The sequence below is a fragment of the Homo sapiens genome, chromosome 2, assembly GCF_000001405.40.
Source record: "Homo sapiens chromosome 2, GRCh38.p14 Primary Assembly".
In the NCBI taxonomy this organism is placed as follows: Eukaryota; Metazoa; Chordata; class Mammalia; order Primates; family Hominidae; genus Homo; species Homo sapiens.
In genome coordinates, this window is record NC_000002.12 from 164,894,080 (window position 1) to 164,912,771 (window position 18,692).

The following is an 18,692-nucleotide window of genomic DNA, read 5'->3' on the forward strand; positions in this document are numbered from 1 at the left end:
TTATTCACTACCAAGAGAACAGTATGGGGGAACCACCCCCGTGATTCAGTTATCTCCCACTGGGTCCCTCCCACAACACACGGCAATTATGGAAGCTATAGTTCAAGATGAGATTTGAATGGGGACACAGCCAAATCATATCATTTGGTAAGGACCAGAATCAAATGAGAGTTAGAAATGAAGAACAGAATAAATCCGGTTTTTTGTTTGTTTTTGTTTTAATGGAGCATTTACATATTACTATACATGAATTCTATCATAAAAATGCCAAAGCTAAATGTATTGATAATCTTTATTATCAATGAGCAAACATTAATGGAATGAAAAAGTGTCTTAACAAAAGACAACCATGTAAATTCTTTATCTGAATGACATTATCATTCATAACCCAGTTTTACTCATGTTCCCTATGTAATTTTCCAAGTAAGCCATTCTGCTGAGAGTTTAGTCCTTGGAAAACTTGGTGTTCTTTTGAGAAACTGATATATTTTCTTCATTCTCACAATGGCAGCCATGAAACTCAGGTAACCTTCCCTGAGTGCTGGCAGGCTCAGAACCAGGCCTGCAGCTTAACCAGCATAACTGTGTTGATTTGGGGTTGTAATCTCTATTTTCTCCCTTGTTAATTCTCCTCCCATGTCCTTTGTCATTGCTCTTCACTAATATTATTGTCGTGGTTTCTCCTCTTCTCACTGTGTCTCTAGATGATTTTTCAAAGAGGCAAAGGATAACACATTTAATATGTACCAATTGCTCTCCCTCCTACATCTCCAGCCTCATTTTCTTCCCTGAGATCTAGCATGGTATTCCTACATCTTGCTTGTATTGTGTCCCAGCCTCTAAACAGATGGCTCCATCTGGCACTTTCTTATGTCCAACTTCCAGCCTTTTTCAAACGTGGTCCCTGAACCAGCAGCAGCAGCATCACCTGGGAACTTTTCAGAAATAGAAATTCTGAGGCCCCACTCCAAGTACTGAATCAGAAACTGTGGGGGTGAAGCCCAGCAATCTGTGTTTCAACAAGGCCTCCAGGTGATTCTGACACATGTCCAAGTTTAAAAGCCACTACCCTAGACAAAGACTGGGCTCTTTTCTTTCTCTCCTGGTCTATGTGTTCTCTAGGTCACAGCATCTCTGGTCCACTCTACATATTTGCTCTGCTATCTTGGCAAATTCTTTACACATTTTTTAGAATAAGCATACATTCTTAAAAGCGCTTATTCTATTGAGGTAGCAAATTATTATCCTTGCCACAGTTAGTAAAGCATTCATGGGTACCCTCACTGATGGGTGACCTCATGGTCACTCATTGATTCATGCTTGGGCCACCTGACAACATTTGCTCCAATCAATAGCCACACCTAATTAAAAGACAGACTATTATTCCTTTCCTAAGCAAGGCTATAGCAGATAAACCAGGAGGAGACCTGTTCTCTTCAATAAATGTATCTTTAATTAAGTAGATGTGTATAGTATGACTTCAGCAGAGGACTAATTGAAAATTTCTTAGTTTGGTTAAATGGATGCAGTCTCCTTTTAAGAAAGACAAGGGGCAACAATTATTGTTTGGCATCATTGGAAATAGTCCAGGCAAGGCAGTTTACTTCTTCTCCCATCCAAGTACTAACAAGGCCAGACCATACTTAGCTTCCAAGATCAGATGAGATCTGGTGCGTTCAGGAAGGTATGGTCATAGACAGTTTACCCATTCTGATGTTTGAAGATGGTTCAAGTTAGTTTTGATAATAAAGATTCTATAATAAGTGAACAATGACTCAATTTCTAAATTACACAGATGCTATCCAACTTATATCCTTAAAGGAAGTGTATTGCTAGATGTTCTCATTTGTGTGTAAAGATGTGATTCTTGCCTACCACCACCTTTTTAAAGTTAAGAAGTGCTTTATACATTTAAGTGTATTGACAGCTTCAAAAACTGGTTTAAAACCTTCAAGTTGCTTTGTTAGGGGCAACAAGTGGCAGGGATGGAAAGATTTTCAGGGGAATCTCTTATTGAACTGAGGCAGAAAATAGATTGAGGGGTGGGGTTCTTGCAGTTATGCATGGTGGCAAAATAAGCATACAAGTATTCTTGCAAAATAAATGTGAGTTCCTAAGATTTATTAAATTATAATTTGAAAGATGTCGGTAATCCGTGCAGCTAATAACTGGGTCATAAGCAGTCTTGTTCTACAGCTGATTAAAAATAAATAAACCAATACATGTTTATTAGGCACTAATGCTGCGCTCAGTTCCTACCAGGAGCTTTCATCTACTTGAAGAGTATGAAGCAACACCAAAGTACAAGATAAGAGATGGTTACGTGCTAAATTATGTTATCCTTGACATACTTTTCTTTGTACATGCTTAGAGATCTCATCCCTCATGACTTTATTTAATAATTATGTAGGTCAGTGTTTCTCAGTCTTGAGCAATGTAATGACAGACTGTGGCAAAAATTTCTTACATTTCCTCATTTCTTACATGGAATGAAAGCATTTTTATTATATTTTACCTAAACATGTACCAATCTAAAAACAGGCACAAACTGCTTAGCCTATGACCCTTAACTATAAAAAAACAAATTTATAAGTTAAATACAGAAAAGTTACCCAACAGAATTTAAATTAATTTAATGGTAAGGATAATATTTTATTGAAAAAATAAATCACCACTAAAACCCTGAGCATGGTTCTACCTGCTAAAATGCATCTTCCTTTATGTTCAATAGGCCTTTCTCACTATGAGTCACACAGTGACTCAGCTCTTGCCACTTTATTCAAACTACTGTGAACCTACCCTTTATACACTTCCTGTAGGATTTCTTTTTGCATTTGATTTGTACAAACTCATCATATATGTATTAACTCTGCTTGTGATAGTTTCTCGTTATTTGGCAACAATTAATATAGTGCCACAGATGGACAACCTGATTGGAATACAAATGAAATGAAAATCTTAGGTGATACTTGATATAAGGAAGCCATCCAGATGGCCCCAGATTTTCATGTTACTTTTTGAAGATTGTCATACATACAAAGACACAAAGTCCTCATTAAAAAATCATTTAAAAATCCTCAGTAAACCGAGGGCATCTGTGGTGGGCACAGCTGTGTCTCCCAGATACCCCTGTAAGGAAGCATGTGGTGACAAAGCTATCAGTAGACCACCTCGAGCTCTCAGTTCCTTTAGGGTTTGCTCTGCTGCAAAGAGCTGCCTAGCCCAAGAACTCATCCTTCTCCAGATGCTCACATTAAATGACTGATGGAGGCAGCAGTATCAAAACTGGGCTATTACCCTTGAACAGGGACAACTCTGATGGGTCATGTATGCACCAGCTTCCCTGTGGATTTGGCTGAGGTCAGCCTGCACTGCAGTTCTACCTCTCCCTAACAATCCTGCTTTCCCCTCTCTCCCATTAGTTATGATAAACTCCATCTCACTATCTGCTCCCAAAGACCCAGTCAACAAGAGCTCCCAGAAATCTCTCTGAGGAACCCCCAGTGGACTGAGAAAGCTTCTTCTGTAGCCCTGATTCTTCTTACACGTTTCTAGTTTCAAAGTTCAGCTTCCAGTTGTACATTCCTGACAGCACTAAAAATCCAACAGGTCCATATCACCAATCTCTTAGGTTCTTGCCACAGAACAACTGTTTTTTGTTTTTGTTTTTTTTGTTTGTTTGTTTGTTTTTCTGTTTTAGAATGGTGCTACCATTGTATTCCCACAGCATCAGAAGATGGGAGGTGATTTTGATTCTTTACACACCTTGCTCCTCACAGCCAGTCTATGATTCAGGATTCCTCACATGGAGAGGTCTTTGCTCATTTCTCCAGGGATCCATTTCCCTTTAAACAAAGGATGCTGCTGAAATTATAACGGAGAGCTCCTCTTTGTTCTTGGGATATGTCTTCTTTTCAATCGTTTTGGGTTTCCCTTCTCTTCAGTTCCACAGACTTTTAAGGACAAAGAAAATGCCCACCCCCCACACCCCCCCACCAAAAGACATCTACACAAAATTCCAACCCACAATCACCTACTTATTTTGGAGCACAATATACTGGTTTGCATATTAAATAAAAGGGGGATGGCAGAAAATGCTAAAGGCTTAACTCTCCCTTCTTCAATTAGCATTAGTGTAGTGCAGTCATTAGAACAAAACCCTTATTTTGTTCCAGTTAAAGGTGAAATACATTCAATTTTTCTTTTCTTTATCTTTTATATTGCACTACTCATAAAAGCCAAGTCTTGATAAAAGCCAAAATAATAATTTTATATAACATAAATACAGACTAAAGCAAGCGTAAATGTTATGTGTTTTAAAGTCTATGAAAACATACATATTTTTAAAGCAGTCAACTCATTGAAAGATACTAATATTTAAAGTAGAAAGTTGTGTTGTCTGCTGAACATGAGACTCTGAGGTATTTGTGAGAGAGAAATTGTCAGGAAAGCAGTAGAACATTTCCTGCCCATGGGTGCAGTCTTGAGTATTTGTAATAGCCATGACGAATCCAAAAACCATCACCACAGCACCAATGGGAAGCATGACACAAGACATAATCTTATCGGAGTGTGTCCTTGGTTCTTCAGACAGTTTCAGATAACAGGCTGATGGAATGATAAAAATGAGGGGAGTTGCACAGAGCACACCCTGCATGTTGAAAACAAGAAACAAGATAATGTCACTAGATGGAAACATTCTTCGGACAGCTTTTAAAAGCATTTACAAAATGTGTTTTTCATGCACATGTTAAACATGTGATAGGTTCAGTTGAATCAAACAAAGGGAGGAAAAATAGTTCTAAGAAAGACTTAGAAATAGGCATTACCTTTTCCACTGGCATATTTACAAATGAAAATAATGAAATAGTATAACAGCTTTTCAGACTTAAGAAAATATTATCACAAAATAATATAGAAAATAAAGCAGATAATAGGACTGACTTCTGGCACTCTTGAAATTTCCTGTATTTTCAGTTCATCATATTTCCTTATATTCTTCACTAAAACTATTGTGTATCCACTATGCCCTTCAAACATGAATGGTCTATTTGTCATTTGTGTATAAGAAGGAAATTTTGGGAAATTGTATAGGGGCCACAATGTCTGTCTTCTTTACCTGAGCTTGTATGGAAGATGTGCCTATCTGTGTGAGAAAGAAAAACTATAACCCTAAGGCAGTTAACATGAAATAGCATTTCTAAATCCTCTTTCAAATAAAAGTAAGCACATTAATTACTGAGAAAGTTGACAGCAGAGCTAAATGACTATTACTCATTCACCCTTCCCCACATTAGCTAGGAATAAACCCAACCTAAGGAGGAATGTCAGATTTAAAATAATGGTGGTAGAATTGTCTATTATAAAAATACCAACAGCTATTGATGTCAAAGGAAGAGACTTTCCCCTTGAATAGGACTAATTCGCAATAGAAACTTAGCAAATAATATAAATGTTAACATTTAATGCATTTTAGGTAATATGTTTTTCTAATTACGTTAGATTTTAATTATAGTATATTTAACAATGTAACATACATTAAAATTTTATGACAAATATTCTCTTAAACCATAAAACATACGTTTTTAAAAAATAAATTTTATTGTGTATATTTGAGGTTTATAACCTGATGTCATAGAATACATACAGATAGTAAAATGGTTATTGTATTGAACTAACATATCTATTCATCTCACATAATTACTTCTTTGGTGATGAGAGCAACTAATATCTACTTATTTAACAAAAGTCCCAAATATAATACAATTTATAAATTACAGCCCTCATATTGTACATTAAATCTGTAGACTTGTTCATCCTACATATCTGCTACTTTGAATTCTTTGACCTACCTCTCTACATTTCCTCCCTTTGTTTCCTGCCCCTGGTAATCACAGTTTTATTCTCTTATCTCTAACTCTATATATTAGGCATTTAAAAAAATATTCCATATATAAGAGAGATCATGTAATATTTTGCTTTATGTGTCTGGCTTATTTCACTTAACGTTCTTCAGGTCTATCCATGTTGTGGCTAATGGCAGGATCTCCTTTTTCAAGGCTGAATAATATTCCATGTTACAGACAGATCTATATGACATTCTCTGTATCCATTCATACATCAATGAACACTGAGGTTGTTTCTATCTCTTCACTATTGTGAATAATGCTTCAATGAACATGGGAGTGCAGATATCTTTATGAGGTGGTGATTTCATCTTTTTTGAGTATATACCCAGAATAGAGATTCCTGGGTCATATAATGGTTCTATTTTTAATTTCTTTAGGAACCTCCATTCTGTTTCCCATATTGACTATTCCAATGTACATTCCCACCAGCAATGTACTAGGGTTCCCTTTTCTCCACACTTCTGTCAACATTTGTTATTTCTGGTCTTTTTGATCATAGCCATCCTAAAGGGTATGAAGTGATATCGCCTAGTGGTTTTAATTTGCATTTTCCTGATGATTAATGATGTTGAGCACTTTTTCGTATACCTGTTGGCCATTTTCATGTCTTCTTTGGAGAAATATCTGCTAAGGTCCTTTGCCCATTTTTTAATCAAGTTAATCATTTTTCTGCTATTGAGTTATTAGAATTATTTGTAAACTTTTTGTAGTGACCCTTTATCAGTTAGATGGTTTGCAAATATTTTTTCCCAATCTGTACGTTGTCTTTTCTTCCCGCCCTGCACCCCCTCCCCACTGCAGAGGCCTTTTAGTTTGATGTAGTCCTATTTATTTATTTTTAGTTTTATAGTCTGAGCTTTTAGTGTGATATTCAAAAAAATCATTTCCAAGGCTAATGTCAAGGAGCTTTTATTCTATGTTCTCTTCTAGGAATTTTACAGTTTTGGGCCTTACATTTAGGTATCTTATCCATTTGGAATTGATTTTTGTGTATGGTGTAAGATCAGGGTCCAATTTCACTCTTTTGCATTTGAGAATCCATTTTTCCCAGCATCATTATTGAAGACTATCCTTTCCCCATTGTGTCCTCTTGGTGATCTTGTAGAAAATTAGTTGACCCTATATGTTTGGATTTATTTCTTGGCTCTCTTTTATGTTCCATCGGTCTATATTTGTGTTTTTATGCCAGTATCATACCGTTTTGATTACTGCAGCTTTGTAATATCATTTGAAATCAGAAAGTGTGATGCCTTCAACTTTATTTTTCTTTTCAATACTGATTGTTTTTTCTATTTCTGTGAAGAATGCCGTTAGAATTTTGATAGGAATTATGTTGAATTTGTATATTGCTTTGGGTAGTATGGCCATTTTAACAATATTAATTCCATCCACAGGATATCTTTCCATTTATTTATATGTTCCATTTATTTGTGTCTTTTTCAATTTCCTTCAGCAAGATTTTATAGTTTTCAGTATACAAATTTTTCACCTCTTTGGTTAAATTTATTCCAGAGTATTTTTTGATGCTATCATAAATGATATTGTTTTCTTGATTTCTTTTTCAGCTAGGTTATTATTTGTGTATAAAAATGCTACTGATTTTTGTATGTTGGTTTTATATCCTGCAACTTTACTGAATTAATTTATTAGTTCTAACACTATTTTTGGAAGCTTTGGGATTTTCCACATATAGAATCATGTCATCGGCAAATAGAAATAACTTTACTTCTTCTTTTCCAATTTGGATGCCTTTTATTTCTTTTTGTTGTCTGATTGCTCTTGCTAGTACTTCCAGTACTATGTTGAAGAGAAGTGGCGAGAGTGGGTATCCTTACCTTTTATTGGATCTTAGGAGAAAAGCCTTCAGTTGTTTCCTATTAATTGTGATGTTAGCTGTAGGTTTTTCATAAATAGCCTTTATTATGTTGAGGACTTTTCTCTCTCTAAACTGTTAAAAGAGTTTCTATCAAGAAATGATGCTAAACTTTGTCAAATTCTTTTTCTGCATCAGTTGAGATAATCATGTGTTTTTTGTTTTCTCTCTCTTTTTTTTTTTTTTTTTGGAGACAGGGTCTCACTCTGTTTCCTAGGCTAGAGTGCACTAGCATTATCACAGTTCAGCTTTGATCTCCCAAGCTCAAGTGATCCTCCCACCTCAGCATCCTGAGTTGTTGAGACTACAGGCACATGCTACCATGTCTGGGTAATTTTTTGCAGAGACGAGGGATCACTATGTTGCCCCAGCTGGTCTCAAACTCCTGAGCTCAAGTGATCCTCTCGCCTTAGCCTCCCAAAGTGCTGAGATTACAGGTGTGAGCCACCGCACCCAGCTGTTCATGTGGTTTTAGTTTTCATTCTCTTATTATGACATTTCACAAATGTTGTTCTCTGAAATAATAAAATGTAAGTTTTTAATATATAAAATCAGTAACAAATGTAATATTACTTTACAACTAAATGCAAGCTTTTCATAAACTATGTTTTTCTAAATTTAAAAGTTAATTTGCAAGCATACACAAAAGTAGAAAGAATAGTATAATGAAATCCTATGCAACTATCACCTATGGTTTAAAAGCTTTTTGACACATTATTTTGGTAAATTTTCTCCTGGGAAAATAACAGCAAAATAAATTTGAAGTTGGATGATGTAAAATTATAAATTGTACCTTTAAAATAGCTTTAAAATAAATATATTCTCACACCAGTTAATAAAATTACTGTGTGTTTTATACAAAGCAATCTCTCCATACCAGAAATATTATGACTATGATCCCAATTATGTAACTTTTTGAATTTTTACAAAAACAAAAGTGTCCAGAGAAAGAATAGTAGGGACCACACTGCATGGAAAATATTTCCAAAGTAAGAAACATAAGAATGAGAAAATACTTAAAAATACCAAAATCATGTTCTAATTTAGAATATATGGAAAATATACTTTTGCCATTCATAGCACCTGAATACAAATTAATATCTACAAAGGTACACAAAAAATAAAAGATTAGTTGTCATATGACTAGAATGAAATATATTATGGATTCCATAGATTCTATCATAATATTTGGAATTAACAGTGCTTTTTAAGTTATGGAAGATACTGTTAACAATTGGTCTGTATTTATAACAAAAACTATTAGCCTCTGATTTCTTTAAAATAACAATTTGTGAAAACAACAAACAGTAATTCAAATACAAATGTGTGTGTGTGTGTGTGTATGTGTCTGTGTGTGTTGTAGTCTTCTCTTTGTAGTCACAAACATGTGGCTAATTCATCTGGAACTGCAGATTGTGGAAGTACTATCAGGATGAAAACTGCCCCCAGCTTCTGCTAAGAAGCTGTCATCAGTCAGCCTTTTGGTACTCTTCCAAACTTAACTTGCTGGGCAGTGCAAAGCAATGGGTGTTCTATTTATGTTATAATTCTTAAGTGTTGAGAAAGTAGCAATTAGAGGAAAGACTATATAGCTCATATTTCTACTGGAAGGATTCCAGTTGAGTATCTTGTTTAGATACCAGCTACTTTCTTGATATTTAAAAGCTCAGTCTTACTAAAGGTTGTTGCTAGAAGTCAAGATCATCAGTAAAATAATAGTGTGGTTGCATCTGATCTATTCCCTATGAATTAGTCGAGCTGATTTGATCTATTTAATGTAGACTTGCTTAAGGATACACCACTGGCTTTGGAATAATTTTTGAAATTGCTTGACAGGATGTAAAATCATAACTGCTTATTAAAAAGACAACAAAATATAGTCTAAGTTATAAAGATGGGACAGTTCTTATTAATTGATAATAACACTGTGGATGTCAGAGTATTTTGCAGTTTGCTGGAGAGAAAGGACAGAAGCTATTGAACATTTTTATTGCCAGTACAGATTGAAAAAGTGCCTGAATTTTCCTACCTGAATAGAAATTTCTCAAATGATGCAAGGAAGCTGGAAACTAAATAAAATAATGCTTATACATCTTTTAAATTTCTACTTTGTAATTAATCTAAACTCATGAAATTCACTCCAATACTTCAAAAAGAAACTCTCTCTTGCTCAGGAAGTCTTTGGCAACTGGGATTATGGCTTGCTCACCCCAAAGACTGTATTTCTTTATCTGGGCTCTTGCTGGCATTTGGCTTGCTTTCTTCCTTCCACTGTAAACCACACACAATGCTTGTTGAGCTGGTTATGCTGGCACAGGCACCAGCTGCTTCATTTTCTCTCTTTGTACTGCTGCGAGTAGAAACCCATAGGGCCCAATTACTGCAGATGCCTCTTTTCTCCAATAGCAACATTAGTGCTAAGACGCTGGATTCTTGTTACCAAGAATAGTGCTTATATTTATTTGATTTGCTTCTAAAATGAAACCTTTAAAACTTAGTGTGTGTTTGCTTTGGAAAAATATTTCATTGTTGTCTACTGACATGAAAACAAGAAAAAAAAAGGAAAGCAAGGTTCTATTTTTTAATTCAATAACTATTACCTCAATTCATTTTATTCTATATTATTTGGTGATACTAAATAGTAGCATTTCCCTAACCTTGCATGATCTGATTCATCTCATCTGTGAAGCTCATTATTCTACTTATTCAGAAGCTAAAATAAAAAAGAATTCCTAAAGTACTAAAATTGTTATCTAAGATAAAAGCTATTAACTACATTTCTAAATTACTACAATTACTAAGATGAAAGTTATTAACTAAAAATTATTAAGACAAAAACTTTTCAGTTCCATTTTATTTCATCTCCTGGTATGTTTTAACCCATTATTAAAGTCTATCCATATGTATCATAGATTACTCTTAACCTTTCTTACAGATAAACTCAATGCATAGATTTTATAACCTAAGAAAGTGGATAGAGAAATGAGCATAATTATTTTACATAATTTAAAATCTTATGCTTAGGAAATCTCAGAGTAGTGTAATGATTTAAAATGTGAGCTTTAGGGTCCAAATGCCTGTGTTCAAATCTGTATTTTTTTACTTGTAACTAGTATGACCTCAGAGTATTTAATCATGCAGTGCCTCAGTTTCTTCATCTGTCAATTTAATATAGATAAAAGGAGATGATACTGCAAAGCACCTGGTACAGAGTAAGTACTCAATACATGGTAGCTCACATTATTATTATTATTATTCTTTTTTTTTATTTTTTGAGATGGAGTCTTGCTTTGTCACCCAGGCTAGAGTGCACTGGCGCAATCTTGGCTCACTGCAACTTCCGCCTCCTGGGTTCAAGCAATTCTCCTGTCTCAGCCTCCCGAGTGGTTGGGACTACAGGCATGTGCCACCACACCCAGCTAATATTTTCTCTTTTTTTTGGTATTTTTTAGTAGAGACAGGATTTCACCATGTTGGCCAAGCAGGTCTTGAACTCCTGACCTCAGGTGATCCGCCTGCTTTGGCTTCTCAAAGTGCTGGGATTACAGGCATCAGCCACTGCGCCCTGCCCACATTATTATTATGAAGTAGAACACAGCATGCTTTAAGTTACTTCCAAAGTGTTGCATGATCCAGCGTGTATTAGTTACTAACAGACATGATGCTTGATTTGGCTCTATTAGACATGGTAAGTGTCCACACAAAAAGGAGTTGAGTAAAGATTTGAATACGTTCTTACGCACACCAAAAGACGTACTGATGTGAAAAACACTTATTCTCAGGTGGTCTGAGAATGGAGATCCTAGATTTTATTAATTCTTACAAAGTGCTTTAAAACTAGCATAATTGTCTTGGGCTATTAGGTCATAACAGACAATTTAGCACTCTAATTTTTAATGTATGTCTATATAATCAGGTTTTAAAAAAATCTAAAGATCTTGAATCATATTTTAAATTTTAAAAATAGTCCTCCAGGGCCAGCTCAGATCTTGACTTTAAAATAGATATTCACAATGTATTCTTCTATGATTATTCTTTAATACCAGAATTCTGTATTAACCAAAACAGTTTTCAATATAAGTATAATAGAGAATATTTAATATGATTATATGCCTACAATTTTGTTGTGCAAATGCCATGGAGATTAGCAATTAACTTTACAGAAAGTAATGGCTAGATTTACAAAAAAAACTCATTCCTGAAAAATGAGCAATATGTGTGCACTTGATTAACTTGAAAACAAAAAAAAATTTGTTGGGCTATCACTATGTAGTGAATGTTCAGGCAGATAATAAATATATTTTGTCTTACAACAAAATCCTAAAATATCAACAAACAAATTTGTGGACTCAAACAAGATATTTCATAAAACAGGAAAAAACAGGGCTTGGAAATCATTATGTTGATTATCTCCACAGCATAGGTGAAAGATTACTACTACTGTCAACAGCAACCATTTTTTATAACATTTCATTTCCTGGTACTACATTAAAGAAAGCATCTTGTGTCTAAGAATATTTATAGAAATAGATCCTGAACTGTAGTCCCAAGGTGCAATCACCCATGCAATAATTTCAGCACTGTGTCCTTAGCCCTGTGCCAAATACTATGGAGGAGGGAGGAGGTGGTTAAGTATTTTTGTCTTCAAAGAGCTTACCAATTGTTAGGTAAGGCAAGCTTATGGACAGCTTCAACAATACATGACACGAGATAATACATAAATTAAGTCAGCGCATTAATGTAGTAGTGATCCATCTACACAAATCAAGATTGGTATGCGAAATGATTTTTAGTGGCCCTACTAGTGTTTGGCCTATGCAAAACTGGGAAGAAGGTAAAAGTTACCTTTGACACTTGCTTACTTTCCTATGAGCTTTCCTTCCACTGTTGGTAGAATAGACAATTACCAGTCTCCTGAGGTTTTGGAAACTGCTTACTCCCCACTTTCCATTTACAAGAAAGTCCCCAGTAGGGTCCCTGACTGAATTCCCTCCTGCCTTTGTATGGAATTTCAAATCAAAATGGCCTCTGGATGACATAGTAACTTGGGCACTGACAATAATACCTTCACCTATGCCTCAATTCTCAATGAAACGAGTAAATGATGACTTGGGATCCCATCTGTATGGGTTTGCCCTCCCTGTGGTGCATGACCAATAAGTGCTAACTGGTGGGTGATTCTGATGAGAAATTCTGTAAGGATTGTAGAAGATTAGCCACTTTGTAGTGGTAGAACAACTTCCATTCCTGTCTTAGCAAATGACATCATTATTCTAGTTCCACAAAATACAACCAAGAAGTCATTCTGCCCCCTGTCTTCCCAATGGAATCTGTGTCACCAAATTATGCCAATCTTTTCTGAAAAATGTGTTTTGGGAATCCATCCATTTCCCTCTGTCTTCTTTTCTCTTTTTTTTTTTTTTTTTTTTTGAGACCGGGTCTCACTCTGTTGCCCAGGCTGGAGTGCAGTGGTGCCATCTCAGCTCACTGAAACCTCTACCTCCTGGGCTCAAGCAATCCTCTCACCTCAGCCTCTCAAGTAGCTGGGACTACAGGCACATGCCACCAAACCCGGCTAATTTTTTGTAGAGACGGGGTTTCACTGTGTTGCCCAGGCTGGTCTCCAACTCCTGGGCTCAAGCAATCCATCCACTTTGGCCTCCAAAAATGCTGAGATTACAGTGTGAGCCACCGTTCCTGGCCTCCTCTGTCTTCATCACCTATATTGCAGTTGAACTTTTATGTTTATTTGTGAGAATGCACAGGTCCTTTCTTATTGCATTCATCCTTATATTCTATTGTGTGGCACATAGTAATTACTCAATAAATATATGATCAGTGAATGTGAATAAAGGAATTAGAAGTTGCACTGGATCTTAAAGTTTTTGTAAAATTTGGACAGAAATGAAAGAAAAATAATCATTATCGGAAATAAAAAGCAGATAGGACAAAGAATAATGGAAAGAATTGATATGGCTTATTCACAGGCCAAAAAATTAGATTGACTAGAGCTGAACATAAATTTTGGGAAGTAAATGGGAAATAGTTTTACACAGAAGACAAGATGGTAGAAGCAACGGAATTTATACTTGCTCTGGTAGGAAAATGCCGATAAACTGAAAGCAGAACTTAAATACATGATAGTTGAAACAGAGCTGGGATTAATTCAACTGTGATATTATGAGGACTTCTATTTGGTTGATGGCAGTGCAGACTATAAAAGAAAGATCTGGAGAAAGAAAAATATTTAAAGAAAAAGAAATTTTGTCATAGCAAGTGAATGGATATAACTTGAATCCTTTCATATTTCTCATAAATTTCACTAGATATATTATTATTCAGCAAAGTCCAAATCCACTTAATTTATAGCTATTTTTAGTAACATTTATGTGTTATAGTAAATGAGATATGCAAAAGTACTCTAAACCAGGGTTTCTCAACCTCAGCACAATTGACATTTTGGATCAGATAATTTTTTGCTGTGAGAGACCTGCACATTGTGGGATGTATATCCCTGGCCTCTATCCACTAGAGGCCAACAGCACTGCCTACCCAGTTGTGACGACCCCATATGTCTCTAAACAACCACTACTTTAAAACTATATAGTCCCACAAAGTGCACAGAATCATCATTGAAAATATTTACTATTACAAACATATTTTGATTCCACTTCAAAAGTGACACTTTTGTTAAGGAAAATACATCTTATGTTAAATGTAATCATTATCTTTTAAAGAGAATTTTAGAGTGAAGGGGTAAATCTTTGCACGTACTCACATTGAGTTCTAGAACTATCCCGAGGCAATCAATCAGCAATGACACAAGCGTGGCTACAGTGATGACCATCACTGTTACAACAATGTGGAAAACCGATGAAAGATTCCCACCAAAAAACACATTGGCAATTACCTGCCGAATAAACAGATTATTTTGAGAGGGACTTTTAAAGGCATGCAGGATTTATTGAGGGAGTATTTTACAATAGTATTTAGGAATATATAAAATACTACCAACAAGGCTATTAATCAAATCTTAAGTCACTAGGAATGTTCTATATTTTCCAAATTACTTACATACAGACACACATATCAATAACAAGTATTCTTTGTTGAACTATTAGTCAGTGGATTATATTACAGACCTATAGTGTGGCATACCGATGTTTCAATACATGTATCTTTCAAGTACAGGAGAGACTTTGGAAAGTTATCTTATCCTTCTTTCTTGAGTCCAATAGGTTACTACTAAAACAAACTAAACATGCTATTTAGATTATTTGCATGGCCTCTAAGAAGTAGCTGTCACATTTCCCTTATTAATACTGGATGTGTAATATCCTTTACTAACAGGAAATTAATTCTGCATTAACTAATTCCTATTTGTTATAATTTAAGTCTATTTTATCTTGCCTTTCCTCAACAAAAATGGGCAAGAGTTCATCACCATTTTTCATGACTACTCAGATCAGGAAAGCAATAAAAAATTACTGACTTAATGTGTCCCATATTATGATATGGTTTGCAAAGATAAAATGTCAGGGAAATGATTCCTATTCTCAGGAATTAATTTTTGGAGGCATACAACGAAACTTAAAAAAGCAAGTAGAGATCAATTTATAACAGGACAAAAAAGATCAAGGAGAATTTAGGACTAGAAGGAGCTTTAGGTATCTAGAGCCGTCTCCTTACAGTAATCTCCTTTACAGCATCCCTGAAATATGCTTGACCTACCTTGGTTTGAGGTAGGGCTTGAAACATGCACAGGATTTGGAGCAGAATTATAGGCTGAGACAAGAGCGTGAAAAAGAGCAAAGAGGTAATAACAGGAACAATACCTATGGAGGATAAAGAGAAGATAGTCTGAATAAGTAGTGACCCTGTGCAAAAGAACAGTGAGACAAAGAGTTGGAAATAACAGAAGGTCAGATATTGAGGTATCATAAAGAAGCCATCTCTCTAAGCTGTGCTGCCTGGATATGCAACATCTCCCATGTGTCACATACTGCCATGACTTTGCTAATAATTTAATGGTGATATTAATAACATAAGTTGTAATGTCTCTCCAAGTATTATCTTATTTAAGATCCATTCTTACAGATGCCTCTATGATATAATTGTGAGAGTGAAAAATCACTTAGTGAGGCAGGTAGTAAGAGATATTTGTTAAGGGTAGACAGCCTTTTTAGTGCTTTTATGAATTGAAACAGTTTGATTATATTTTTGTCAGTCATACATTTGTGTGTGTACCTGTGTGTGTGTGCAGAATGAAGAGTAAGAGAAGGGAAAGTTATAGACACCATTCTTCTGCTGAGTATTTGCTATTGTGGCAGAGATCTTGATTCAGTTCTATCTTCCTGCCACAGCAGCTAGAAAGGAAACTCAAGTTTCAAGTACTAAACACAGAAGTTGTGCAGGTGAAGTGACTCAGATCGTCTGCAGGCAGGCAGTTTACTAGCAACCACGTGAGAATGCACCATCTGTTCTTACTTGCTGATCTAGAGATTAGATTTGAACCTACGTACTGAGCAGAAGCTAAAATAATACCATGTCCTGCATCTGACAATAGCTAGTAAAGTTTCGAAAGGCTCTTAAATTTAAAAAAAAATTAGTTCAGTCTATTTCTCCTTTATAGTCAAGGTAGAGAACTGGCCTGTGAGTTATACATGTGTGAGGGAGAGAAGTGCTAGTTGTAAAGGACATACACAGTGCTAAACATTTCCCTCTTCTGTTTCCCCGTGCAGTCAGTTCCTTATCCCTGGGACTGACTTAAAGTAAGCCCTGGCTTGCCTCAAGAAGCCTGCTGATTATTTAGTGTATTTAAAGCTCTGTAGATATTTCACTTATCTCATTAGACCCTTTCACATGGTGCACTGTATAAACAGCCTCTAGGAACAGATCCTATGACTGAGCCCTTTTCAGTGTGGTCCCTGAAAGACCCACTGTGAAGCAAGATCATGTTTTACTGCCGACTGGTACAGTGGATTTTTAGCTGACAGCATAAGGGATTCCTGACAGGCCATGTTATCCAATTTTACACCAAAAGAATGAATTCTCTTTCAGATAATATTTCTCTACAAATACAAGTGGAATATATAACCCAATTTAGAGCTGACTTTGACAATACAATATATTTATATGTAAATAATATCCTATATATTTGTTATTATTTATATTATTAGTTTATGTTATGTATAGTTGTAAATATACACGTCTACATGTATAAATACATAAATAAAATGTATCTGTAAAACTAAAAGTTTCAGTTGAATTTTGGTTCTCCATGGAATATAAGATATTTTAGTTTTTAAAAAATAACAAAACCAGTTAGAATCTGTAGATTCTACAGTGCCTTTAATACATGTTGACTGATAAAACATCTAAGCAAAAAGACAGTTTTGTAAAACATGTTTTAAACCTTGATACTTAATTTCTTTGTAAGAATGCCTTAAAAGCAACAACTTTAGTTTGGCTGTCGCAAAAGGCTGGCAGTCACTTTGGAATGCAGTTGTATAAATATTTGTGCTCACAGAAATATAAGCCAAATCTACCAAACCTAATTTTCAAACCGAACTTTTGAAAAATTGTCTTGTAAACATCTGAATATAAATTCATCTTTAAACTCTGACATTTTAGAGTCAAAAAAGAAAATTTTACAAATTATACCATTTGTCATGCCCTTGGGAATTTGCCAAACTGTATTATTTATAAATCTTCCTAAATTAAATGTGGCAGAGAGATCACCTGGGTAAAGCGTTGGGAAGGAACCGCGCTTACCTCTCTTGTCACAAAGCATTCCATAGGGTATGTCAAAATGACAGTGACACCATAACAAAATCTTCCAAATGTTACCAGGTCATCATTTCTGCAGTAATTTTCAAATAAGTCCCCTAGATAGTAATATAAAATAAGTTTATTTACTAGATACTAAATGTTTGAGATAACTATCTAATAAATTAAATATTAGATATTACAGTTATGCATCACCTAATGGCCCACATATATGATTACAATGCTGTATTTTTACTATATATTTTTCTATGTTTAGATACATAAATACTTTCCATTCTGCTACAGTTGCCTACAGAATTCAGTACAGAAACATGCTGTAGAGGTTTATAGCCTAGGAGCAATAAGCTATAGCATATAGCCTAGGTGTGTAATAGGTGCTACCATCTAGATTTGTGTACGTATACTCTGTGATGTTTGCACAATGAGGAAATCACCTAACAATGCATTTCTCAGAATGTTTCCCTGTCATTAAGCAACACATGACTTATAAGTGAATCTCCATAAACTTCATTTCATTTAATTAAGAGAATAGATGACCAGGTCTAAATAAAAGTTTTTGAATTCAATAACTATGTAGTTATTCACTGATTTAAACCAGTACATGCTACATGTGAAGATAAATCCATCACTGATAGTTTTTCTCTTATTATTTGTTTTTGGTAGATTTGCTGCCAATTTGTACTGACTTCTGAAAAATACTTTATCCATTGTCTTCTTACATCAGAATCAACTCCCTAAATTCTTCAGCACTGGCTTTGTAAACTGGTTTCTGGTCTTTGTTTCTGGTGAGTAAGTGACTTCATTATTTTTTAAAAATGTCTGTTAAAAATAAACAAATTTCCTTTTGAAATGCTATTCTTAGATCAAGAACAATCCTGAAAGGAAGAGTAAACCAGTACATCTGGGGAGCTGAATTTCCTGTGTATCATGCTATAGGGTTTCATCCCAACCTTGGGGCCACAGCGAGAAATTCCAAACATATGTTACCTTTCATGGCACCTCATGAGCCCAAGTGTAAATGCACTGATTCAAAACTGTGAAAATATGGCTATGTCCCAGAAAGAACATTAAATTTAATAAGTTCCAGACTAGATGATGGACTAAATATACCTTGAAACAAT

At 35.1% G+C, this 18,692-nt stretch overlaps 1 protein-coding gene and 1 pseudogene across 6 annotated transcripts in view; both read right to left on the bottom strand.

Annotated features, from left to right (window-relative positions):
* Positions 1-274: 274 nt before the first annotated feature.
* SLC38A11 (solute carrier family 38 member 11) overlaps positions 275-18,692 on the bottom strand; it is a 61,172-nt gene continuing 42,754 nt past the window's right edge. For all 6 annotated transcript variants that reach the window (NM_001351540.2, NM_001351539.2, NM_173512.3 and 3 more), the window contains 3 exons: positions 17,557-17,669; positions 14,561-14,692; positions 275-4,651 (listed from right to left, as the gene is read on the bottom strand). In NM_001351540.2, the coding sequence (NP_001338469.1) occupies positions 4,358-4,651; positions 14,561-14,692; positions 17,557-17,669 (539 nt within the window). In that variant the 3' untranslated portion in view covers positions 275-4,357. The remainder of the gene's footprint in view (positions 4,652-14,560; positions 14,693-17,556; positions 17,670-18,692) is intronic.
* On the bottom strand, positions 1,598-1,698 carry RNA5SP111 (RNA, 5S ribosomal pseudogene 111; annotated as a pseudogene).